We start from the raw sequence: 26,506 nt of genomic DNA on the forward strand, positions 1-26,506 counted from the left end.
TCCTCAAGACCAAATTAGAAAAAAGTACATATTTTTTTCTGGAGAAAAATTTGCAAAACACGTATCTGATAAAGGACTGTTATCCAAAATATGCAAAACAAACATAAAAATAATTAAGACTCAACAATAAGAAAACAATTAACCCAGTTATAAAATCGGGAACAAATCTGAACATATTTCTCACCAAAAAAGATATAGAGATGGAAAATAATCATATGAAAAGATGCTCAGCATCATCTGTCATTAGCAACTGGAAACTAAAACAATGAGATACTGCTATGCACCTATTAGAATAGCTAAAATGCAAACTCTAACAACACCAAATGCTGGAGAGGATGTGACACAACAGGAACTTTCAATCATTGCTGGTGAGAATGCAAAACAGTACAATCACTTAGAAGGCCGTTTGGCAGGTTCCTATAAAACTAAACATTCATACAAGCAGCCATGTTCTTTGATACTTACTCAGTGAAGTTGAAAATTTAGGTCCACTTAAAAACCTGCACATGGATGTTTATAGCAGCTTTATTTATAATTGCCAAAACTTGGAGGCAACCAAAACATTCTTTAGTAGGTGAGTTAATAAATAAACTGTGGTACTTCCAGACAATGAAATATTATCCATTGCTAAAAGAAGTGAGCTGTCAAACCATTATTGGGAACAGGCCCCCCAAAATCTGGCCATAAACTGGCCCCAAAACTTGCCATAAAGAAAATCTCTGCAGCACTGTGACATGTTCATGATGGTCATGACACCCACGCTGGAAGGTTGTGGGTTTACCAGAATGAGGGCAAGGAACACCTGGCCCACCCAGGGCGGAAAACCGCTTAAAAGCATTCTTAAAACACCAACAATAGCATGAGTGATCTGTGCCTTAAGGACATGCTCCTGCTGCAGATAACTAGCCAAACCTAACCCTTCATTTTGGCCCATCCCTTCATTTCCCATAAGGAATACTTTTAGTTAATCTATAATCTATACAAACAATGCTTACCACTGGCTTGCTGTCAGTAAATACGTGGGTAAATCTCTATTCAGAGCTCTCAGCTCTGAAGGCTGTGAGACCCCTGATTTCCCACTCCACACCTCAATATTTCTGTGTGTGTGTCTTTAATTCCTCTAGCACCACTGGGTTAGGGTCTCCCCAGACTGAGCTGGTCTTGGCAACCATGAAAAGACATGGTGGAAACTTAAATGCATATTAGAAGTGAGATAAGCAAATTTGAAAAGGCTATATCCTGTACAATTTCTGCTACAGGAGATTTCTGTGAGAGGCAAAACTATGGACACAGTAAAATAATCAGTGGTTGCCCAGGGTTAGAGGACAGGGAAGACACAGAGGATTTTTAGGTAAGTGAAACTAATCTGTATGATACCATAATGGTGGATACATCTGTGACATAAGAAAAAATATATACAATCATACATCACTGAATGACAGGGATAGCTTCTAAGAAATGTGTTGTTAGGCAATTTCATTGTTCAAACATCATAGAATGTATACACACAAACCTAGATGGTATAGCCCACTACACATCTAGGCTATGTGATTGAAAAGAGTCAAATTGTGTAAAATATTTGAAGAGATTTATTCTGAGCCAAATGTGAGTGACCATGGCCCGTGACACAGCCCCAGAAGATCCTGAGAACATGTGCCCATACCATCAGGCTACAGCTTGGTTTTATACATTTCATAATGAGACATGAAACATCAACCAATACCTGTGAGTTATACATTTTTTTGGTCTGGAAAGGTGGAACAACTCAAAGGTGGAGGACAACTTGAAAGTAGGTGGGCTTTCAGGTCATAGCTGGATTCAAAAATTTTCTAAAATTTATCTAAAGACGTGGAATCAACAGAAGGGAGTATCTGGGATAAGATAAGGGGTTGTGGAGACCAAGGTTCTTATTATGCAGATGAAGCCTCCAGACCTCCAGGTAGCAGGTTTCAGAGAGAATAGATTGCAAATGTTTTTTATCAGACGTAAAAAGATACTAGACTCGCCAGGCACAGTGGCTCACGCCTGTAATCCCAACACTTTGGGAGGCTGAGGTGGGCAGATCACCTGAGGTCAGGAGTTCAAGACCAGCCTGACCAACATGGTGAAACCCCATCTCTACTAAAAATACAAAATTAGCTGGGTATGGTGGTGCCTGCCTGTAATCCCAGCCACTCGGGAGGCTGAGGCAGGAGAATCACTTGAACCCAGGAGGCAGAGATTGCAGTGAGCCGAGATCGCACCATTGCACTCCAGCCCGGGCAACAAGAGCGAAACTCCACCTCAGAAAAAAAAAAGGTACCAGAGTCTTAGTTAATTCTCTCCTAGATCAGGAAAAGACCTGGAAATGGAGGAGGATTCTTTACAGAATATAGATTTCCCCTACAAGAGACAACTTTTCAGGGCCATTTCAAAATATGTCAAAGAAATATATTTTGGGGTAAAATACTTTGATTTCTTTCAGGGTCTGCTATCTGTCATGTTGGTATCTTATTGCTACAGAGTCTGTTGTGTCATTTGCAAAGTCTCTATTTTAATGTTAATGCTGGCCAGCTGCACCTGAATCCCAAAGGGAGAAAGGTGTAATGAGGCGTGTCCGACTCCCGCTTCCCATCATGGCCTGAACTAGTGTTTCAGATTTACTTTAGAATGCCCTTGGCCAGGAGGAGGAGTCCATTCCATTGGCTGGGGTTGCTTAGAATTTGACTTTTGGTTTACAGCTACATGGTAGAGCCTATTGCTCCTAGGCTACAAACCTGTATGTTAGAGGTGGCGAATATCTGATTTACCGGTGGCAAATCCATATGGAGCAACCTCAATTCTTGCCTCCTCAGAAGAAAGAATTCAATTGAGGGGTATAAGGCAGAAAAAGAGACCGAGGCAAGTTTCAGAGCAGGAGTGGAAGTTTATTAAGAAGCTGTAGAGTAGCAAAGAAAGGAAAGTACCGTTGGAAGAGATCCAAGTGGACACTTTGAAGGTCAAGTGTGGCATTTGACTTTTTGACTCGGGGTTTTATATGTTGGCATATTTCCAGGGTCTTGCATCCCTTTTCCATGGTTCCTCCCTTAGGGTGGGCTGCCTGCACGTGTGGTGGCCTGTTAATACTTGGGAGGTGAGCATGCGCAGTGTGTTTACTGGAGTTGTATGCATGCTTGCCTGAGGCTTCCTTCCCTTCCCTGGCGGAATGTCCCAGGAAGGTCCTTCTTCGCCATTTTGTTTCTTAATGTGCATGCCTGAGCCTACTCACCGAATTCCTGAGCTGCCAATTACCAATTTCAAGTATTTTTTATATATTGTGAAATTGCCTCTCCCTGGGCCTGTGACCAATTATCGCTCTAGTGTGACAGTTGTGGGCCATCAGGAAATTGCCTCTCCCTGGCTCCAGCTGCCAATTATTATTTTTAGAGAGGCACTGTGACAACTGCCTGACTATCACCTGATGATCACTTGACATTCCTGGTAGGTGGGGGGAGGGAGCCCTCTCCTGCCCCACTCATGCCTGGCTAGCTACCTACTATCACATGTGCAGCATGTTACTGTGCTGAATACTATAGTCAATTATAACACAATGGCGAGTATTTGCATATCCAAACATAGAAAAGGTAATGGGTTGGTCTTGGATGTTTCAACACCTACAACATCACTAGATGACAGAAAACTTTCAGCTCCATTACAATCTTATGGTATTGTTGCAGGACTTTTTCTTAGTTCAGCTAAAGACAGGGTTCTTTGTCCCATGGCCATAAAAATTCAGGCTTGCAAACAATTTGAATGGTGAGTAAGACAGGGTTTTATTGGATGAAAAGGAAGGAAAGGGGGAAACAGGGACTCTCGCTAGGCCAGAATCCCTGCTAGTGCACTTCCCGCATGCAGCTTGAATCCCTGAATCCCAGGTTCCACACAGGAAGAGGAGGGGCCAGGCTCCTCCCCGCTGCAAAGTGGGCAGGCTGATTGGAGTTTCTCCCGGGACCCCCTCCCACCTGGCTGTCTCAGGATCACTATGGTATATGTGGTCCGTCATTGAACTAAACATCCTTTTCTTTTGAGACAGTGTCTTGCTCTGTTGCCCAGGCTGGAGTGTAGTGGTGCAATCTTGGCTCACTGCAACCTCTGCCTTTGGCGTTCAAGTGATCCTCCTACCTCAGTCTCCTGCGTAGCTGAGACTACAGGCGCTCACTACCACACCCAACTAATTTTGTATTTTTTGTAGAGATAAGGTTTCACCGTGTTGCCTAGGATGATCTTGAACTCCTGGCCTCAAGCAATTCACCCACTTCGGCCTCCCAAAATGTTGGGATTACAGATATGAGCCACTATGCCCAGCCTTGACCTAAACATCCTCTGCACTGAACGACTATATTTACTCTCTGCCCCCATTTCCTGGCACACAACTCCTAAACCCTTGGAATCCCAGAGTGATCAAGGTCTTTTGTATACTAATGAAGTGACTGGTGGCTGGGGGCTCCTGGATAGCCTCAGGATGGGGGCAGGTCTCCAGGGGAACCAGCCAGGCGATGAGAGGTTTGTAATTTTTAGCCCACTGACCAGTCCTGGGGGTAGAGAGGGGCTGAGAGTTGAGTCCATCGCCAACGGCCAATGACTTGATCATGTGTGTGTGTGTGTGGATGCCTTCATCAAAAATCAAAAGGACGGGGTTCTGAGAGCTTTCAGTGGGTGAACATGTGGAGGGGGCTCACCTGAAGAAGGTGTGGAAGCTCCTTGACCCTTTCCCCATGTGCTGCTGTGTGCATCTCCATCTGGCTGTTGTATCCTTTTATAGTAAACAGGTACTCTAGTAGTTCTGTGAGCTGCTCTAGCAAATTTTCAAACTTGAGGAGGGGATAGAGGCCGTTTCTGATTTACAGGCAGAAGCTTGGAAGCACAGGTGACAGTCTGGACTTGCCTCTGGCAACTGAAGTAGGGGAGCATTCCTGTGGGACTGAGCACTTAACCTGTGGGGTCCGCACCAACTCTAAGTAGACAGTATCTGAAGTCAATTGAGTTGTAGGACATTCCAAAAAACCCACACATTTGATGGCCAGAAGTATTCTGTGAGTGTAGATAGAAAAATACAATTTTTCCTTACAATGTGTCATTATAAATTTGTCCAAACCCATAGAAAGTACCACATACAGCGTGAACCCTAACATGAACTATGGACTTGGGGGGACGATGATGATGATGATGTGGTAATGGAGGGCCATCAGTTGTAGCAAACGCATCACATAGTGCAAAGCGTTGATGGTGGGGGAGGGTGTGCCTGTGTGGAGGCTGTAGGTGTACGGCCTGTCTCCATTGCCTCCTCTCCATCTTGCTGTGAACTGAAAACTTTTCTTTTCTTTTCTTTTCTTTTTTTTGGAAACAGGGTCTCACTCTGTCGCCCAGGCTGGAGTGCAGTGGCACCATCTTAGCTCACTGTAACCTCCGCCTCCCGGGTTCAAGCGATTCTCCTGCCTCAGCCTCCTGAGTAGCTGGGATTACAGGCATGCGCCACCATGCCCACCTCATTTTTGTATTTTTAGTAGAGATAGGGTTTCACCATGTTGCCCAGGCTGGTCTCAAACTCCTGGCCTCAAGTGATCCACCTGCCTCGGCCTCCCAAAGTGCTGGGATTACAGCCATGAGCCACTGTGCCTGCCCCCGAAAACTTTTCTAAAAAATAAAGAAGAAAAAAGAAAAAGAGAATCAGCAGGTTCCCACAGCTTGGGTGAGGGAGCACCTGCTTTACAAAGGCTTCCCCGCTCTACAGCCAGGCAGCCTCCTTCCCCATCAAAAGCACCCCATGATGCCCAAGGGAAGGTCAGTGAAGCTGGGGGTGGGGGGGCAGCAGAGGATGGGCCCAAGGGGAGTGGGACAAGGCTGTCAGCCACACCTATTCCTGCAAAAGTGCAAGTTAAGCCACAAAAGGCTGCCAGAAAGGATAACTCTTCAGACAAAAAATGCAGGAACAAAAGGCAAAATGGAAGCAAAAGAACAAAGTGGCCAACCAAGAAACTGAAGAAGACTCACCTACAAACACAGAGAAACTGAAAACCAGTAGAGTCCAGCCTCTGAAGAAAGAGAGAAGGAAGCCAAATCTGATTAACGTCCCGTACTAAGTCTCATCTGTTGACTTCAGTCTGCCATATTTTTGAATCTAGAGAAATCGGTTTCCAGCTATTGTATAAATGTTAGCTTCTAGAATTCTAGAAATATATTTTTTAAGAAAGAAGGAATTATACATCATCTTTTTAAAAAACATTTGTAAATAAGTGGAAATGTCCATTTTTTGAAGATGTAAAATTAAGCGCTGGTTGTTTTTCTGCAACAACCAGAAAATAGTGGGATGTTGAAATAAGGGAGGTGTTGAATGTTTGGATGTTAAATTAGTAATTCCATAAGTTGGTGTGAGGAGAGTTTTTGTATCCTATAATACAAAAAAGAAATGGCAATTTTGAGTCACAATCATGAATTTAAATGTTCAAACATTTTAAATTCCTTAACTTCTCTTTCCACGTTGGTTGTTCGTGGAGCAGAAAACTGCGCCCTGATCTTGGCTTCCCTGGCAGAACTGGGTGCTCTCTGTGACATATTTGGTTGTGGTAGTCCAGTTTGTCCTAATAATTTTGCTAATGTGCTGTGAAGAATTGAGATTTTTTTTGTTTTTGTCTTTGTTTTTGTTTTTTTGAGATGGAGTCTTGCTCTTGTTGCCCAAGCTGGAGTGCAATGGCACCATCTCAGCTCGTCGCAACCTCTGCCTCCCAGATTCAAGCGATTCTGCTGCCTCAGCATCCTGAGTAGCTGGGATTACAGGCATGCACCACCATGCCTGGCTAATTTTGTATTTTGTTAGTAGAGATGGGGTTTCTCCATGTTGTTCAAGCTCATCTTGAACTCCCAACCTCAGATGATCCACCTGCCTCGGCCTCCTAAAGTGCTAGGATTACAGGTGTGAGCCAGCGCGCCCAGCCGGATTGAGAGTTTTGAGCATATAGTGTACATGGTGCTAAGTTGTAAATTAGTGTGATTTACCATCTAAGAGCTTATCACTAGCAGAAGATATGTGTTGTTGTTAACATCCTCATAAGGACAAATTGCCTTTAGAATTTAAGCTAGAAAGTCCCTGGAATAACTGCAGAAAAGATTATAGCTACAAGGCTTTCTAGAATTTCAGTATTTATATTAATAATTGTGTGCAGATTGTTCATAATGTCTGAGTACTGATGCTCAAAAAAAAAAACTAATAAAATCTCAATTATGAAAAGGAAATTTTAAATTGCATCAAAAATATAAAACCAGGTGTGAGGAGGGGTGTCTCACACCTGTAATCCCAGCACTTTGGGAGGCCTAGGTGAGTGGATCACTTGAGGTCAGGAGTTTGAGACCAGCCTTGCCAACATGGTGAAAACCCATCTCTTCTAAAAATACAAAAATTAGCTGGGCATGGTGGCATGCACATGTAATCCCAGCTACTTGGGAGGCTTAGGCACAAGAATTGCTTGAGGCCGGGAGGCAGAGGTTGCAGTGAGCCGAGGTTGTGCCACTGCACTCCAGCCTGGGTGACAGATCGAGACTCTGTCTCTAAATAAATAAATAAATAACAAATGAAATAAAACCGGGAAATATTAAATAAAATGTGTGCAAGACTTGTATACTAAAAACTACAAGAAAATCCTGAAAGAAATTTCAGAAGACTTAAGTAATTGAAGATATATCATATTCTTGAATTAAGACTTAATATTAAAATGTTAATTCCCTCACAAATGGCCTCTCAAAAGGTTCAGTGCACTCTAAACCAAAATCCCAGCAGGTGTTTAAATAGAAATGTATAAGCCGATTCTAAAATTTTTATGGAAATGCAAAGGACCAAGAATAGCAAAAGCAATTTTGAAAAAGAAAGTTGAAGGACTTATCCTACCTGATTTCAAAACTTCAAGATAGTGTGGATAGAAATGCCAATCTCCATTGTGTCTAAATATAGAGTCCAGAAATAGAATCTCATATATATAGTCAATTTATTTTTTACAAAGGTACTTGGTCAAATAATTCAATGAGGAGAGGATAGACTTTGCAACAAATAGTGCCAAAAACAAATAAACAAAAGCCTTGACTTTCATGTCATATACAAATAATAACTCAGAATGCATCATAGACCTAAAGGTAAGAGCTAAAACTATAAAACTTCTGCAAGAGAACATAGAAGAAAGTCTTTGTGGCCTCATTGAATTAGGCAAAGATTTCTTAGTGCATAAAAAGCACACGCCATTAAATTAGAAAAAATTAAGTAGATTTCAAAAAAATTAAAAACTTTTGCTCTTCAAAAAAATACCATTTAGAAAATGAAAAGACAAGGCACAGACTAGGAGAAAATATAGCCAATTCTCATTATGGTCTATAAAGTCATTGTTATGGTCTGTAAAGTCATTGCAAACACTGAACTAGCAAATAATAAAATATTGCTCCCAAGAGAAATACAGGGTTAGGTTCCTTCGAGTCTCTGGTTACATTAACGTTAACTGATCAACATAACCTTGTTTGTGTGTTTCTGTTTCGTGAAACAGAACATACCTTGCTTAACGTATATGGTTGATTCATTAACATTGCACTCACAGCCAATAGCCCTGTAACTCACGCCCACACAAATCTTATCTACCACACAATATTTTCTCCATAAGGCACATCACAGCCTCTTGCACTTAGGGACACTAGAAAGCACTTCAGGGCCATGGCTCGTGCCTGTAATCCCAGCACTTTGGGAGGCCAAGGCAGGCAAATCACCTGAGGTCAGGAGTTCGAGACCAGCCTGGCCGACATAGTGAAAACCCGTCTCCACTAAAAATACAAAAATTAACCGGGCATGGTGGCACGCACCTGTAGTCCCCACTACTCAGGAGGCTGAAAGAGGAGAGTTGCTTGAACTTGGGAGGCACAGGTTGCAGTGAGCCGAGATCATGCCACTGCACTCCAGCCTGGGTGACAGAGGAAGACTCCGTCTCAAAACAAAACAAAACAAAACCCCCCAAAAAACAGAAAGCACTTCAACAGTTTACATAGGAACCGCTTGAGATAGAAAATTACCAACAAAAAGCACACATATATGGAAAACGAGTCACTGAATAGACAGTGGAAAGGACGCTTGCTTTACACTATGAGCACTGGAACAGCAAGTCAGAGCATCACCTTGTTCAGCCTCAGCTAAGAGCACCAACGTCGAGAAACTCATGTTTTTAGCCACTCTGTGTATGTGTGTAAATGACCACGAAAAAACCGTGAGCATTGACTTGGGGCTTACAAGCACATTTTATCAAAGAGGCAAATTCGCAAATACAGGATCTGAGAATAACGAGGACAGCTGTGAGGCTGGAGAAGCAGATGGGGCTGCTCTGGGTGACAGGCTGGCTCTTGTCCCAGAAGCTGTGGACTGCCACTGGAGTGTTTCAAGCAAGGGAGTGGCTTGATCTGTGTTGTAGGAACAGCACCTTTTCTCAACTTAAAAGTGTGGCTTGAAGAGAGGAAGACGGGAGACTGATTAGGAGATGGATGTATCCAGGCGAGGATGAGGGTGGGTGAATGGAGCCAGGGGTAGAGGTCCTCAGGGGAGCTGACCTGAGACCCCTGTGAGTCTCGGGTCCTGGCAATGGGGCGGCGGTGAGTGGTGAGGGGGAGGCATTGAGGACAGCGCCCGGGGTCCCCGGCTGGGGCACATACGTGTAGGGCAGTGGTCAAGGGCCCTAGCCTTGCAGTCAGACACCCCTGGCGGGCTGTGTGGCTTAGACATGCTCCTCCACTTCCCTAAGCCTAGTTGTTTCATGTCTAGCATAAAGATTCCGTGTGGCAGGAAGAACACACCCCCGGGAGTGATTCTGAGATTGAAATGAGTGCTGGTGCTTTTCACCTAAACAAGGAAAACAGGGAGAGAAGCAGTATGTGGGGTGGGAGGGAGAAGGAGAGGAGTCTGTCTGGGCGTGGGGAGTTGGACGTGCCTCTGGACACCCATGGACAAATATCCTGAGGCCATCTGATGTTTTCCGGGGGCCACGGGAGTCGGGGAGGGGAAGGTGGGGTGGAGACACAGACTTGGGCATTACCAGCAGGCAGGGGGCTGCTACCGCCATGAAGAGTGGGCAGTGCCAGGATCAGAGGGCCGGGGTAAAGCCTGCATTGTTCCCACATTTCAGAAGAGGCTGGGAAGGAGGTCAAGCAAGAGCAGCAGGAGGAGGAGAAAGCAGGAGGATGTGGAGGGACGGCAGGCGGGGAGGAGGAATTCCAGGAGGGAGTGGCTGGGGTGACTGTTCTGAAAGCATGGACTGGAAGCCACAGCACATTTGGGCTGCAAGGAACCCGAGAGATCTTCTAGTCTAATCCTCTTTTAGTCTCCATCCCCGTCCGGATGAAGACATCGAGATTCAAAAGCAAAGTCAGTTGTACTGTGACTTCATAGCAGGATACCCTAACTCCTAATTCATAATAAAACTACAGACATTCTCAATTCAAACTTCTTCCTATTCAGTCATACTGGACTTTCTCCTAGTTTGACAGAATGGTTGAGATGTTATTGACTTTTTGGAACTGCTAACCTTCCACAGTGTAGTCAAGCTGTGCTTCTTAAATATATTTTTATTCCACATTTAACAAATTTTGCTCTAAATAATAACTCCAAAAACAAAAGAAGTCAAAACTCACTAAAGTATACTTTTAATTTTAATATATATAAAGTACACTTCAATAGAACTGAGTTTTAAAAACAGTTTAGCTACTTACACTAAGAAGTAATTATTTACAAATTATTTTGTATACGAAGACCAGAGGAATAAAAATATTTCAGTGTTTGAATTTGATCCTTCTTACAGCATTGAGGGAAATACTTATTCCTTACTCCATCCTGTTTTCCCTCACTATAAAACCAGAAAAGTATCATTGTGCAAGACTGCTAATTGTTAATTCACATGTGTGAAATTGTTGAGAAATATTGTTTGGGGGCCAGGCGCGGTGGCTCACGCCTATAATCCCAGCACTTTGGGAGGCCAAGGCAGGTGGATCACCTAAGGTCAGGAGTTCGAGATCAGCCTGGCCAACATGGTGAAACCCCGTCTCTACTAATAATATAAAAATTAGCCAGGCATGGTGGCGCATGCCTGTAATCCCAGCTACTCGGGAGTGTGAGGCAGGAGAATCGCTTGAACCCAGCAGGCGGAGGTTGCAGTGAGCCGAGATCGCGCCATTGCACTCCAGCCTGGGCAACAAGAGCGAAACTCTATCTCCAAAAAAAAAGAAAAAAATAAATATTGTTTGGAAAGTATTACCTTACTACATTTATAAACATAAAGTTGCATTTTTGTGTGTTTTTTGTTGTTGTGTTTGTTTTTTTGAGACACAGTTTCACTCTGTCGACCAGGCTGGAGTGCAGTGGTGCAAATCTTGGCTCACTGCAAACTCTGCCTCCCTGGTTCAAGAGATTCTCATGCCTCAGCCTCCCAAGTAGCTGGGAACGACAGTGCGTGCCACCATGCCCGGCTAATTTTTGTATTATTAGTAGGAATGGGGTTTCACCACGTTGACCAGGCTGGTCTCGAATTACCTGACCTCAAGTGATTCGCCCACCTCGGCCTTCCAAAGTGCTGGGATTACAGGCATGAGCCACCACACCTGGCTAAAGTTGCATTTTTACAGCCAAGTTGGAATTACAAATTATAGCCCATTTAAAAATGTATGCAAATATATGCATATATATACAACAACGGGAAAAGAAAGCCACAATTGTGAAAGAGCAAAATGGGAAAATGTCTTTCACATAAGATTGAGTATTTCAGCTGATCAATACATAATAAAAAAGTTTTGTGGCTGATTATTTTTTTTTCACTTAGTTAACGTCATTTACACTCTGCCCACGTCAGATAAAATTGTACATGATGTAAATAGCAGAAAATTATAATAGCTGCTGGCTATTTTTCCCAGTTAATAAAAAGAACCAAATGAAAAAGTTGTCTGAAAATGAGCCATTTCCTTTATTCAAAAGTTACTTTTGCTTCAGGGATCCAGGAAATTTGATTATAGAGCTTTGCACTTCTAGAAGAAACACTGTTATAAATCAAGGTGTCTCAACCTCAGCACTATTGAGGTTTGGGGCACCTGGATAACTCTGTTGTGGGGGCTGTCCTGTGGGCTGTGGGAGGTTTAGCAGCCTCCCTAGCCTCCACCCACTAGACACCAGTAGCACTCCCTCCAAATTTGTGACAACCAAATGTCCCCGGGGGCAACGTCACTCCCAGTTGAGAAACACTCCTATAAATAGCATGCCCATGCTCAGGTGGGTGCAGTTTTACATGTGCTGGGGACAGGCCCATCTGTGCCAGAGCCTGATTGGCACAATTAAAGCCCCGATTAGGAGTGGTCGAATATAAACGTTCTCAACAATCCAAAGTTTTGCCCAGATGGGCAATAAGTTCTGCTGCAAATAGGTTTTAAATTATATGCCTTAATTTGGGTGTAAGTGGTTAATAGAATGTAAGGCTGTTTGCCAATTAAAATATCTGTGGCTAAGGCTGGAGCTCTAACATCAGCCTACATGCAGATCCTCTAATTTAGCCAATTATCATGGGCTGTGTTGTTGGTGACAGGCAAGCAAGTGAAGTCTATAGGTTGTAGGGCTTGTATTAGCCAAATCTGATGGCATGTGACAAATCTCAGCATTTGTCATGGCTAGTTGAAACAATGACTTCCTTGGTGAGTTTGGGCCTCTGGATTACAAACCAATGCAAGCACCTAGACTAACAGTAATGGGACCAACAGGCCATAGTGCCTGCAGTGTGCCCATGCACTGAGCATATTTTTTATTTACTTTTTTGGGTGGTGGTAGAAGTTTTAGTTTCAAATGGGTCCCCTATCAGATGACCAACTGCCTGGCCCCAGGGACACTATGGCTAAGGGGTCCCAGGGGAGTATGTGCCCTTGGCCTGGCCTCCATCCTTATGGGATGGAGGGTAAGAATGAAAATTTATGATGATGAGGGAAATCATAATTAAAGAGTCTCATATATAATGAGTCCTTACATGAAGAAGAGACATATTCCCTTTTCTATGTAAGAAAGGAAGATGGGAACATTTTTTCTTTAACTTGGTGTAAGGTGTGAGTTGGCTGAGTGGCTTGAATTAAGAGAAATTAAAGTCTGAGGCAAGACCGAGACCCACTTTCCAGACTGAAACTTGAAGAGGACTCATTTGAGGAGAATGTTGCATCTCTCAGTCAAAGCAGCTAATCTGGGACTTATCAGGGATATGACATTTCTATGGAATGCCTTTTTCAAGAGCCCAGTATACTTTGAGAAGTGTAGTGCATGCCTTGGTTACTAACAGTAGTGTCTGTAACTCAGAAGGAGATCAGGAGTGTCCTGGCAGGACCTTGCACTGTGACCTTAGTACATGCAGAAAAGTATGGTTTTGATTTACATTTTGGGAATACGTCAGGCAAGAGATTCCAAGAGTTTTTTACCCTGAAAGGGACAACTCCTAGGCAATGGCCCAAGAATTTGCAATGTCTGTGGAGATGGGGCCATTTTTTGGCCAGGGCACCCAGTGCTGACTGCCTGAGCTGTCTCATCCATTATCGGGGACATCCTGGATAAGGGATGGAAAGCAGCTACATTCCATGGAGCACCATCATTTTTATGATGGAGGGTCACAAGTTCAAGGTCTATGAGAGCCTCTCTCTGTTTCCAAGACAGTCCAAGGCCGGGCGCGGTGGCTCACGCATGTAATCCCAGCACTTTGGGGAGCCAAGGCAGGAGGATTGCTTGAGCCTGGAGTTCAAGACCAGCCTGGGCAATGTGGTAAAACCCAGTCTCTACCAGCATGGTGGTGCACATCTGTAGTCCCAGCTACTGGGGAGGCTGTGGTGGAAGGATCTCTTAAGCCCAGGAGGTTGAGGCTGTAGTGAACCGTGATGGTGCCACTGCATTCCAGCCTGGACGACAGAGAAACCCTGTCAAAAAAAAAAAAAGGCGTCTAGCATTAGCTGTGCATTTGTTTTAATGGAGTATAGCACAAGGCTGAAAGGGGCAGTTTCCTGCATCAGAAGCCTCTGGGCAACTTATGGCTATTGTAGGTGGTCCAGAGACTACAGGAGATGGCTGAGAAGAGGTTGCCAAAGCCTTTGCAGTGAAAGAATCTTGGAGGCACTACTAGGACTGCCTGTTGATTTTAATTTTCACAGATCTTAGAGGCTTCTTTTGGTGAAAGCTCCATTTAGGGTGGACTGCTTGGTAAGTAGCAGCAGCAGTGAGATTAAGGAAAATGTGTAAATATGAAATATGTTGCTACCAGAACCCCAAAAGGACTAGGTGTTGGTCTTGTATGCCCTTAATGAGTGTGTCAAATGAATAGCCTGGGGAGAGGAAGGCATTAATGTAATGTCATACCTGTGCTCCTGGGTGAAAATAGATGTATTTGAGATCCTGTCTGCCAAGACTGTGCATGGTGGCAAAGCTGTGTACCCTGTGGTGTACCGTGTCCTTTCAGAGGTGAATGTAGACTGTGGCTGAGAGGCCGTGAAAAGAGGCAGTATGCAGAACATATTAGCCAAATCTATAATATCAAAATATTTCCTGGTTGTTGATTGGATGAGGTCAGTTATTTTAATAAAACTGAGTAATGTGTATGAAGGCTAATGGATGGGACCTCAGGGTTAAGGTTGGAGTCATCACCATGAGGTGTTATTTATTTTTTCTAGGTTTAATAACTGGCAAAGTTTGGCTGGGCCAGTGGTTCACACCTGTAATCCCAGCACTTTGGGAGGCCAAGGTGGACGGATCACCTGAGGTCAGGAGTTCGAGTCCAGCCTGACTAACATGATGAAACCCCGTCTCTACTAAAAATACAAAATTAGCCAGGTATGGTGGTGCCTGCCTGTAATCCCAGCTACTCAGAAGGCTGAGGTGGGAGAATCACTTGAACCTGGGAGGTGGAGGTTTCAGTGAGCCGAGATTGCGCCATTGCACTCCAGCCTGGGCAACAGAGTGAGACTCCGTCTCAAAAAAAAAAAAAAGAGAACTGGCAAAGTTAAGAACAGGGCTGTCAAATGGAGAAGCACTGGGGAATAATCATCTCTTTATTAATTAGATTTTATATAATAAATTTTAATCCTTGAAGGCCCTGTTTTTTTACATTGGGCCATATTAACTATTTTCCCTGAGAACCTGTAGGCTGTATTTTATCAAGCCAATTTGTAAGTGCCAAAGACTTATTTTAATTTATTATTCATTGTGTTGGAGGAACTATGTGCAATCTGAGATATTTTAGGGCAATGGCTACTTTGACTATGGGAAATTTAGGCAAGGCTACAGTTAAAGTGAGGCATACCTAATTTTCCTCTATTTTATATTCAGTGACTTTTCTAAGATTATAGGAGTACACCATGATTAAATTTTTTTGTTTTTTGTTTTTTGTTTTGAGACGGAGTCTCGCTCTGTCACCAGGCTGGAGTGCAGGGGCGCGATCTCGGCTCGCTGCAACCTCTGCCTCCTGGGTTCAGGAGATTCTCATACCTCAACCTCCTGAGCAGCTGGGATTATAGGGACGCGCCACCACACCCAGCTAATTTTTGTATTTTTAGTAAAGACAGGGTTTCACTGTGTTGTCCAGGATGGTCTCGATCTCTTGACCTCGTGATCCGCCCGCCTCAGCCTCCCAAAGTGCTGGGATTACAGGCGTGAGCCACCATGCCCGGCCACCATGATTAAATTTAATAGGATTCCAAGATATAACCATAATTCAATCCACAGTTTTGATGAATGCCAAGTTTTGTCAATTGGCTTGTGTTACCCAATGTTCAAGTTAATTTAGAACCTATGTTGTAGAGGCACAGACGCCAGTTAGTGCCACCTTTTTGTTGTTATATAAAATAAATTGCAGCCTCCACCTCCCAAGTTCAAGCAATTTTCCTGCCTGAGTCCTCCGAGTAGCTGGGACTACAGGTGTGTGCCACCACGCCTGGCTAATTTTTGTATTTTTAGTAGAGATGGAGTTTTACCATGTTGGCCAGACTAGTCTTGAACTCCTGACCTCAAGTGATCCACCCTCCTTGGCCTCCCAAAGTGCTGGGATTACAGGCGTGAGCCATCACACCCGGCCTAGTTGTTTTATCTGTAGTATAAAGATTCCATGTGACAGGAAGAACACATTATTATTATTTGAGATGCAGTCTCGTTCTGTCACCCAGGCTGGAGTACAGTGGTGCCATCTCAGTGCACTGCAACCTCTGCCTCTCAGATTCAAGTGATTCTTGTGCCTCAGCCTCCTGAATAGCTGGGACCACAGGCATGCGCCATCACACCTGGCTAATTTTTTTATTTTTGGTAGAGACGGGGTTTCACCATGTTGCACAGGCTGGTCTAGAGCTCCTGAGCTCAAGTGATCCATCCGCCTTGGCCTCCCAAAGTGCTGGGATTACAGGCGTGAGCCACTGCACCGTGCAAAATTATTTTAACATATAAATTTTGGATTTTCCACATATATATACACACAAGCATGTGTACCTGTGCACACACACACATAGTAATTTATTAGGGCTTAGGAAGGGCAGGGATAAAGTGTTCTCTCTCTTTTTTTTTAGATGGGATCTCATGGTGTTGCCCAGGTTGGACTCCAACTCCTGGCCTCGAGCAATCCACCTGCCTCAGCCTGGGAGCTGAAGCTCCCTTTTAAAAATTAAACATTGTGCCACTGGTCTCCCAGAGTGTGATCTCTTGTACCCCCGGTTGAGGGGTGAATTGGTGCAGCATCAAGGCAAGCGACAATACAGGAGACTATGGCTAGAACAACATCTTTTGTGGGGTGCTATGGGCCAGGAGGTGGATGCCCCCACACTGTCTCCACGTGTGGCTCACTCGTGAGGAGCTCTGAAGCGCATCCTCCCTGAAGTCCACAGAGCGGGAGGGAAGGTCCAGGAAAAGAGCTGCTCGGTGTCCCCACCTCTTGTCAGTGCTGCCTGGTTGCCTGGTCAGTCCTGTCCCAGGCACTCGGAGGGAAGTCACACCTCACTCCCTTCAGAGGCGCCTTTCGTGAACTCAGCCAGTCAGTGCCAAAAAGGGGTGCCCCCGGGGTCACTGTCCTGAAACTTAGGCAAGTCACTCAGCTCAGGCCAGAACTCAGGGAGGACTCAAGTTTTGAGCTCTGAATTGGGGGTACAAGGAACAGCAGGAAGCACATGCGGCAGGTGGTTGCACCTTCCCAGGCCGTCGCTGCCCTCTGGTGGCCCCAGTGGACAGGTCCGGAGCCGTCTAGTGGCATATCATTCCAGTTCAAGCCCACATAGCCCATTCACTCTGTACATTGTTTTATTTCTTTCCCGTTTTTTTTTTTTTTTTTTTTTTTTGAGACAGAGTCTTGCTCCGTTGCCCAGGCTGAAGTGCAATGGCTCAATCTCAGCTCACTGAGGCCTCCGCCTCCTGGGTTCCAGCGATTCTCCTGCCTCAGCCTCCGGGGCAGCTGGGATTACAGGCTCCTGCCACCACACCCAGCTAATGTTTGTGTTTTTAGTAGAGACGGGGTTTCGCCATGTTGGCCAGGCTGGCCTCGAACTCCTGACCTCAGGTGATCCACTGGCCTCAGCCTCCCAAAGCATTACAGGCATGAGCCATCGCGCCTGGCCTAAATGTATAAATTTTTTTAATAAATTCATGTTTTTATAAATTTACATTTATAAATCCTTTTTCTTCAAAAATAAACCTTAGCTCACTGTAACTTTTTTTTATAAACTTTTTTATGTTTTTTAACTTTTGACTGTTAAAACACAAACACATCGTACAGCTATACAAAAAAAAAATTCTTTTTTGAGACAGGTTGTCACTCTGTTACTCAGGCTGTAGTGCAGTGGTGCAGTCTCGGTTCACTGCAGCCTTGACCTTCCAGGCTCAAGCAATCCTCCTGCCTCAGCCTCCCAAGGAGCTGGGACACAGATGCATACCATCACATTGGGCTAATTTTATTTTTTCTAGAGACGAGGTCTCACTATGTTGCCCAGGCTGGTCTCAAATTCCGGGCCTCAAGTGATCCTCCAGCCTCAGCCTCTCAAAGCATTGGAATTACAGGTGTGAGCCACCATGCCTGGCCTCCTATGTTATCTTTTAGAGTTTGATAGTTTTATATTTTACATTTAGGTCTGTGATCCATCTTGAGTTAATTTTTAGAAAGGGTGTAAGGTCTGTGTCTAAGGTCTTTTTTGTATGTGGATGTCCAGTTGATCCAGTATCATTAGTTGAAAAGACCATCTTTGCTCCATTGAATTGTCTTTGTCCTTTGTCAAAGACAAGTTGACTCTATTTATGTGGATCTATTTCTGAGATCTCACTTGTATGTCATAGATCTATTTCACTAATCTTTCATCAATATTACACTGTCTTGATTATTGTAACTTTATAGTAAATCTTGAAGTTGTATAGCATTATTTCTCTGACTTTATTATTCTCCTTCAATATTTTTGTTGACTATTCTGGGTCTTTTGCCTTTCCATATAAACCCTAGAATCAGTTTGTTGATATCTACAATATAACTTGCTGGGATTTGATTGGGATTGTGTTGAATCTGTAGATCAGGTCTGGAAAAACTGAAATCTTGCCAATGTTGAGTTTTTCTAGTCACAAACATGGATTATTTCTCAATTTATTTAGATCTTTTTTGATGTCTTTCAACAGAGTTTTGTAGTTTTCTTCATATAGATCTCGTACTTGGTTTGTTAGATTTGAACCTAAATCTTTCTTTCTTTTTGGTGCTAAATAATTTAAATGACAATTTGTTTTAAATTTCAAATTCCAATTGTTCATTATTGGTATGCAGGAAGGCAATGGATATTTTTATATTAATCTTGTATCCTGCAGGCTTACTATAATTGTTCAGCAGTTTTAGGACTTCCGTTGATCCTTTGGGATTTTCTACATAGACAGTCATGTAATGTACAAAAAAAAAAGATGGTTTTGTTTCTTCCTTTCCAATCTATTTACAATCAGCTCTTCATATATGTGGGTTCTGCATCCACGAATTCAACCAACCATGGATCAAACTATTTGGGAAAAGACAATTTTAAAAATACCACTTAAAAAACAATACAGCATAACAACTATTTTTCATAGCATTTTTAGGTAGTATAATCTAGAGGTAATTTAAAGTTTGTGGGAGGGTGTATGTAGGTTACATGCGAATACGACACCATTTTATATAAGGAACTTAAGGATCCATGGATTTGGGTATGAAAGACAGGTTCCTGGAATCAATTTTCCATAGACACCCAGGGACTGTGTTGTCTCTTTCCTTTTCTTGTTTTATTGTGTAAGCTAGGACATCGCAACAATGTTGAGTCTAAATGGTGTAAGAGGGGATGTCCTTGCCTTATTCCTGATGTTACCAGGAAAGCATCTACTTTCTCACTCTTAGTATGAGGTTAGCTGTAGGGTTTTGGTAAATATTTCTTATAAAATTAAGGAAATTACCCTTTGTTCCTGGTTTGTGGAGAGTTTTTTTTTTTTTTTTTTAGTCATGAATGAGTTTGAATTTTATCAAATACTTTTTCTGCATCTATTGATATGATCATATATTTTATTCTTTAGCATGTTCATGTGATAGATTGCATTAATTGACCTTCAAATGGTGAACCAGGCTTGCATGCCTGAAATAATACACTGCTGGATTTGATTTGCTAATATTTTGTTGAGGATTATTCTGTCTACGTTCATCAGTGATATCAGTCTATAGTTTTCCTTTCTTGTAATGTTTTTGGTTTTTATATTAGAGTAATACTGGCTTCGTAGGATGAGTTAGAAATTATTCTCTCTTCTTTTACATTCTAGAAAAGATTGTAGAGAATTGGTATAATTTCTTCCTTACATGTTGGTAGAATTCACCTGTGAATCTATTTGGGCCTGCTGCTTTCTGTTTTGGAAGTTGTTTTTGTTTTGTTTTGTTTTGTTTGTTTTTTTGAGACAGGGTTTCACTCTGTCACCCAGGCTGAGTGCAGTGGCACTATCATGGGTCACTATAGCTTCAAACTCCCAGGCTCAAGCGATCCTCCCACCTCAGCCTTGCAAGTAGCTGGGACTGCAGGCACATGTCACCATGTCCAGCTAATTTTTTTAGTTAGTGTGGAGACAGGGTCTCACTATGTTGCCCAGGCTGGTCTTGAACTCCTGGACTCAAGGGATCCTCCTGCCTCAGCCTCCCAAAGTGCTGTAATTACAGGTGTGAGCCACCATGCCTAGCTGGAAGCTTATTGATTAAAATTTAGCAGACTTAGTTCTATTGAGATTACCTATGTGTCTTCTGAGAGTCTGGATAGAGGAATTGATACAAGGAATTGATCCATTTTATCTAGGCTATCAAATGTGTGGACGTAGAGTTGTTCATAATAATCCTTTATTATCCCTTTAATGTTCATGGCATCACAATGGCCCATCTTTATTTTCTGGTGTTAGTATTGTTTCTACTGTCTTCCTTAGTCTGGCTAAAGGTTTGTCAAGTTTATTCATCTTTTCAAAGAATCAACTTTGGGGTTGATTTTCTGCTTTCAATTTCATTGATTTCTGTTCTAATTTTTATTATTTCTTTTTGTCTGCTTATTTGGATTTCTGTTCTAATTTTTATTTTATTATTATTATTTCTTTTCATTTGCTTATTTTGGATTTCTCTTTTTTCTAGTTTCCTAAGGTAAATTGGGAACTAGATTATTGATTTTAGGTATATCTTTTTTCTAATAGTAAATTCGAAACTAGATTATTGATTTTAGATATATCTTTTTTCTAATATGTTCATTCAGTGCTATGAATGTCCCCCATCACTGTTTTTACTGCATTCCACAAATTTTGAAAAGTTGTATTTGCATTTTTATTTAATTCAAACCACTTTTAAGCTTCTCTTGAGACCTATTCCTTGACCCATGTGTTATTTCGAAGTGTATTGTTTAATCTCCAAGGATTTTGGGATTTTCCGACTATCTGTTTCTTTTTTTTAATTTTAACTTCATTGTGGTCTTACAGCAAACTTTGTATGATTTCTAGTCTTATAAATTTGTTAAGGTATGTTTTATGGCCCAGAGTGTGGTGTATCCTGTTGAATGAGCTGCATGAATTTGAGAAGAATGCTTACTCTGCTGTTGTTAGATAAATTGTCTACAATGTCAATTACATCCAGTTGATTGATGGTTCTGCTCAGTACAACTATGACCTCACTGATATTCTGCCTGTTAGATTTGTCAATTACTGATATACTGGTGTTGAAGTCTCCAGCTATAACATGGAATTCATGTATTTCTCCTTGTATTCTATCTGTTTTTGCTTTATATTTTGATGCTTTGTTGCTGGGTGAATATACATGAAGAATTGTTTTGTCTTGTTGGAGAACTGACCCCTTTATAGCCATGTGATATCACCTAAACTCAACATGAGAAACATAGCTTCATATTGGGACATATAACAGTGAGCCAAATGGTGCTACCAATACAGAAGCAGCATAAGATACATCTTCTCACTCATGGGACTTAAAATCTACTTCACAATACAAAACTCAAAAAAAAAAAAAAATGAACACGCAAGGCAGTGCCTAATCAAGCAGGTCCCAGAGACGTTCAAAGAAGGGGAAGTCACAGAAGGAGGAAAGTGAGATCTTAGTGGATGGATAAGACAATGGGCAATGACAGGGCAATGAGCACAGTCCATTCAGAGACACTGGAAATTTCATTCTACAGTTTACTCACATTTATAATTTTGAACTATCACTCTGGTGTTGGGAGAAATTGACTTAAGGTAGGGCAGTGATTTATTTTAAAAATAACTATGCTACAATAGCTTTAAAATATTGGACCAGGCGGTCTACCCCAAATTACAAAAGAATTACCTATCAATTTGTTTATGAATTTATTGGTAGCCACACATTTTTTTTCTAGAAAAAAAGTTCCATGGAGTGTTTGGATATCAATCAGGCCACAGTATAACTGAAACTCTATTACCCTAGAAACACCCTGCCACACAGGACAGGACCATTTTGGAAAGCTATGAAGACTAGACACTTCTCCTCCCTCTAACTTCTCAGCCAGGACACCGTCTCTGTTCAAGGCCAATGGCGGTGGATTTCACCATGGTTGCCCTCCACAGCAAAGGTTGGCTGGCGAAGGTTTATGCAGCCATGTCTGGGGGCAGCAGTGGGGAAAGAAGAGCTCATTAGCACAGAACTGAGCTCATCTGCAAGAAGTAAACTTCTCTGTTGCTGGTAGTCAGGTCCACAGGAGAAGGTTCTAGGCCCTAGGGCCACAGTGGAAAGGTATTCACCAGGAGAATGACTCACAGGTTGTTCTTACTACAAAAATGCAAAAATTAGCCAGGCGTGGTGGTGCATACCTGTGATCCCAGCTACTCAGGAGGCTGAGGCAGGAGAGTCACTATAACCTGGGAGGCAGAGGGTGCAGTGAGCCAAGATTGCTCCACTGCACTCCAGCCTAGGTGACAGAGCGAGACTCCATCTCAAAAAAAAAAAAAAAAAAAAAAGAAAGGAAGAAAAAAAATCAGTACTTTAAGATGACTGCACAGAGTAGCTTGAATTTTGAGGACTCTTGTACTGTTTGAGAACAGATCCCTCCTATCCCCTGCCCAACCTCTGAAGGGGTAACATTTCCCCAAATCCTACTGAAAGTCAGCTATACACACCAGTGGTGAGCATGTCATTTCAATAATGTGCAGGACAATATCAATGCCCAGTGGAACCCATCAGTTGGGATTCAACACATGGCCAGTGGCAGAGCAGGTTGAGCTGCTCCCCTCCCCACAGTTTCTATTCTCAAGTAAGGCAGGCCGTGGTCTAGTCACTCCAGGATACAGGGTAAGAAAGGAGGGAAAGGTAGACTCAGCTGCGGCAGGCATTCATGCAGGCCAAACACTGCACACCCTAAGGGCAATCTCAGATAACCTACAAATCTACAATGTGACATTCTCTATGTGTTCTTCTCTTCATCAACCAACAACTATGTAGATTTCTTATTGAATGACAGAATACATGTGGAATAATAACTGTGCCCCCTTAGCACAGTGCCTATTGAATGAAAGATGGTAAATTAACATTAGTTTCTTTTCCTTCTTTGTGCTTTTTAGGGGAGGTGGGGAGTAGGAGTTAACTCAGCCAACTGTTATAAAGGTACAATTTCTCTGGAATTTGTTAATTGAGCTATCGCTCCAGCATAAAGAATCAGGACTGGGAGCAGCTATTGCCAGCTGTGTTTGGGAGCGACCTAAGCTGATTTACCATTATCATGATGATGACTTTACAAATCTATTCAGTATTTTATGTATTTAATGCCCTTAATGCTGGGTTGGGCTACAATAGTGATTAGTTGCACTAATTAGTTGAATTCATAGAGAAGTTTTTGGAGTTAGTTATGAGAGGATCGTATGTAAATTCATGCTAACTGTATGTAAATAGGTTTCTAATTCCTCTAGGAAAAAAAAATCCACAACACAACTGCCTTGTGCTCCCCACACCCCATTCTGACCATCTGATGACACTGGCACATGGAGATGCCATTCATGACGACGGAGCAAACCCTGCTGCTCTGAGGGCATCGGGTCACCCAGATGGCCACCAGGCTCCAGTGGTGTTCCTGAAGAGGGTGGAAGGAGAAGGCTGCTGCTCCTGGAACTCGAAGCTTTAACGAAGGTGACACAGGAGGGAGCCCCAGGCCACTCAGTCTCTAATCCTGGCTGGTGCCAGTCAGTGCAGGAGACCAGACCTGCCCTGGCTAAATACCTGCAGGTGGATCTCAGAGCAGGGACGCTGAGCCCAGGGGACAGCAGCCACATGGGCCAGGCTCCATCTGTGGAGCTGACATAACTGCCATGTGCTGGACATTAATGATTTGCTTCAGGGAAAGACAAAGTGGATGCTCCTCATCAAGTGTCAGGGCCCCTGCTCTAGAATCTGTGACTGTTCTACCCAGAACAGAAGAAATGTCCCTTCAGTCACTAGCCGGGTACCTTGGGTTTGCCCTGGGGCTACGCATAAGCTCTGAATCCAGTGAGTTGCACATCACCGGAACAGGAGGCAGAGCAGGCTCTCCACTGACGGCATGGGAGATAAATAACGCTGCACTCAGCCATCCTCGGCCAGTCTCCTTTGAGGTTTGTCTGCTTATCTCAGCATGAATTAAGAAGAAATTCCCATGTCGGAAAATGAGTGTGCAAGTTCTAAACTGTCATCACACACTGCCAAACAGTCTTACGAAAGCGCTGTGTCTATGAATGCTCCCACCAGTAATATATGAGCAGGTGCTTTTCCCAGTCTCTCATGGGCATAGGGCATGATGTGAGTTTTCCTATCTCTGCCAATCTGATGCTTAAAAATATATGCTTTTTTATTCATTTATAGTAATGTTTAAAATATTTTCATGTTATTACATTTTTTATTTTTTAAAACTGCTGATTCTTAACATTCTTAATACTAAAATGTTCATCACATATATTGCATATATTGAAAATTTTTGAATATTTGTTTTTCATACTTGATCGTGGTGCTTAATCATTGAGAAATATAATCATTTGAAAAATTTTATCACAAAGCATAAATTGTGGCTGCTTCCTAAACGAGTGGGTAATTTTTTTAATGGCTAGCTGCAAATGAATGCAAAATAGTTCTACCTGATCCTTGTTTAGGAGCCTGTTGCTTGAGCTGAAGGAAGATTACTGAGCACGCCAATAAACTACCACAGATGCTTGGGGCTTCTGCTCTTCAGCAACTGAGTGATCCTTTGTGCTTGAAGCTTGGAGGCTGCACACAGCTGAAACTGGCCCTGCACAGACAGGCAGCCCAGGCAGCAAAGCACTGGGGACCATGCCAGTCCCTGACGCCACTGGATGGCAGGAGGGGGTAGAACTCAGCATGCCCGCTAGGTGCACTTAGCACCAGGGAGCAAAATTAGTGATGGTCACTCTGGCAATTTCCTTACCTGCACTGTTCAAGCTGGGAATAGATTTGCTTCAGGTGCTCCGGCTCATGGGCTGTCAGCAGCCCCTTTGACTCAGAAAAACAAAACGGATTTGAGAAGCACCGAGCAGAGCTCCCAGCTTGCATGGGGATGAGGGATCCAGAAGGAGCTGCTCTGCCGTGAATCTGTGGAATAGCCAAACAACCATCAGCCATTCCCTCCTAACTAAAAACAATGAAAAATTCTCTCTCTCCTATACTCTGGCTTGCCCAAATGTTCAGGGGACAATGTCAGAGTGTAATTTTGATCATGGCCATTTCAAGGCATTTGAAACGGGATTCGTTGCCGGGTTGGGCCACCATGAACTTGCACAGTCACCTCAGGAGGCCGAGCCTTCAGAGATGACAGCATTCAGCCTCAGGAGGAGCCTGCAATTCACCCACGGTCTTCCCAGTATATCCCTTCCATGGGGATACAAGACAGTAAGGAGCTAAACAGAACCTGCTGTCTGAATGGGGAACCTGCATGCTGGGGTTCTTTTGTGTCTGAGCCCTGTCCTTCTATGGACAGACCTGTGAATATTACATGCACAATGAGAGCCGTAGGTTTGAGCCCCGTGACACCCAGCTGTCCAAGAAGTGTTCCCTGTGTAAATGCTGACATGGACAGCTCCGCTGCTTGCCTCAGGCATTTCTACCTGGGTGTGACGGCCTTGTGATGGACAAGCACCTCAAGGACCAGGACTCCAAAACTACCACTGTCTTCATGTACCACTTTTATGCTGGCATCTGCCTTTCTATACAAAGTTGCTATTAATCAACATTTACCTTTTTCTACAAATACAAGTTTAGATATCATGCAAATTTCATGACCAGTAAAGGCTGCTGCTCCAATGTTCTGACTGAAAGATAATCGTTTGTTAGTTGCCTTAAGATAACGAACACCTTTCCATAATAGTCTCTAACACTTCCTTACAGTACCAACTATTTCTTACCTCTGCCCTGCCCTCCCCTGAGAAATTATTAAAAAAAAAAAAAAAAAAAGAGGCTGGGTGCAGTGGCTCACGCCTATAATCCCAGCATTTTGGGAGACTGAGGCAGGTGGATCACCTGAGGTCAGGAGTTCAGGACCAGCCTGGCTAACATAGTGAAAGCCCATCTCTACTAAAAATACAAAATTAGCCGGATGTGGTGATGTGTGCCTGTAGTCCCAGCTACTTGGGAGGCTGAGGCAGGAGAATCGCTTGAACCTGGGAGGCAGAGGTTGCAGTGAGCTGAGGTCGTACCACTGCACTCCAGCCTGGGTGACAGAGTGAGACTCCATCTCAAAAAAAAAAGAAGGAAAGAAAGTCAGTCATATCTACATCATGTCTGAGTCCAGTGTTTCTTGATATGTGTAATTCTACCAAGATCTTCTAATAATATTTTCTTTTAAGCAATTGAATTATATGTTCAGATTATTAAAGGCTAATCCTAATGTGGAACTGAGGATAAAGTTTTGAGTAGAGTTGATCAAAATCAACTAATATCATCCCTTTTTAAAGGGAGGAGCCAGAAGTGCTGAAGTAAGGAAAGTTCATCTG

The 26,506-nt window shown here is 43.1% G+C and overlaps 1 pseudogene, besides 2 other annotated features; it reads left to right on the top strand.

Annotated features, from left to right (window-relative positions):
- Positions 16,551 to 17,051: an enhancer, noted in NCBI's record as "H3K4me1 hESC enhancer chr6:3932846-3933346 (GRCh37/hg19 assembly coordinates)". NCBI's record gives its function as "activates a minimal SCP1, AML or CMV promoter by ChIP-STARR-seq in naive H9 embryonic stem cells {active_cell/tissue: H9 hESC(naive)}" and the evidence as "EXISTENCE:reporter gene assay evidence [ECO:0000049][PMID:30033119]".
- Positions 17,052 to 17,552: an enhancer, noted in NCBI's record as "H3K4me1 hESC enhancer chr6:3933347-3933847 (GRCh37/hg19 assembly coordinates)". NCBI's record gives its function as "activates a minimal SCP1, AML or CMV promoter by ChIP-STARR-seq in naive H9 embryonic stem cells {active_cell/tissue: H9 hESC(naive)}" and the evidence as "EXISTENCE:reporter gene assay evidence [ECO:0000049][PMID:30033119]".
- Positions 25,173 to 25,946, top strand: CRIPTOP4 (CRIPTO pseudogene 4; annotated as a pseudogene).

This window comes from Homo sapiens, chromosome 6 (assembly GCF_000001405.40).
Source record: "Homo sapiens chromosome 6, GRCh38.p14 Primary Assembly".
In the NCBI taxonomy this organism is placed as follows: domain Eukaryota; kingdom Metazoa; phylum Chordata; class Mammalia; order Primates; family Hominidae; genus Homo; species Homo sapiens.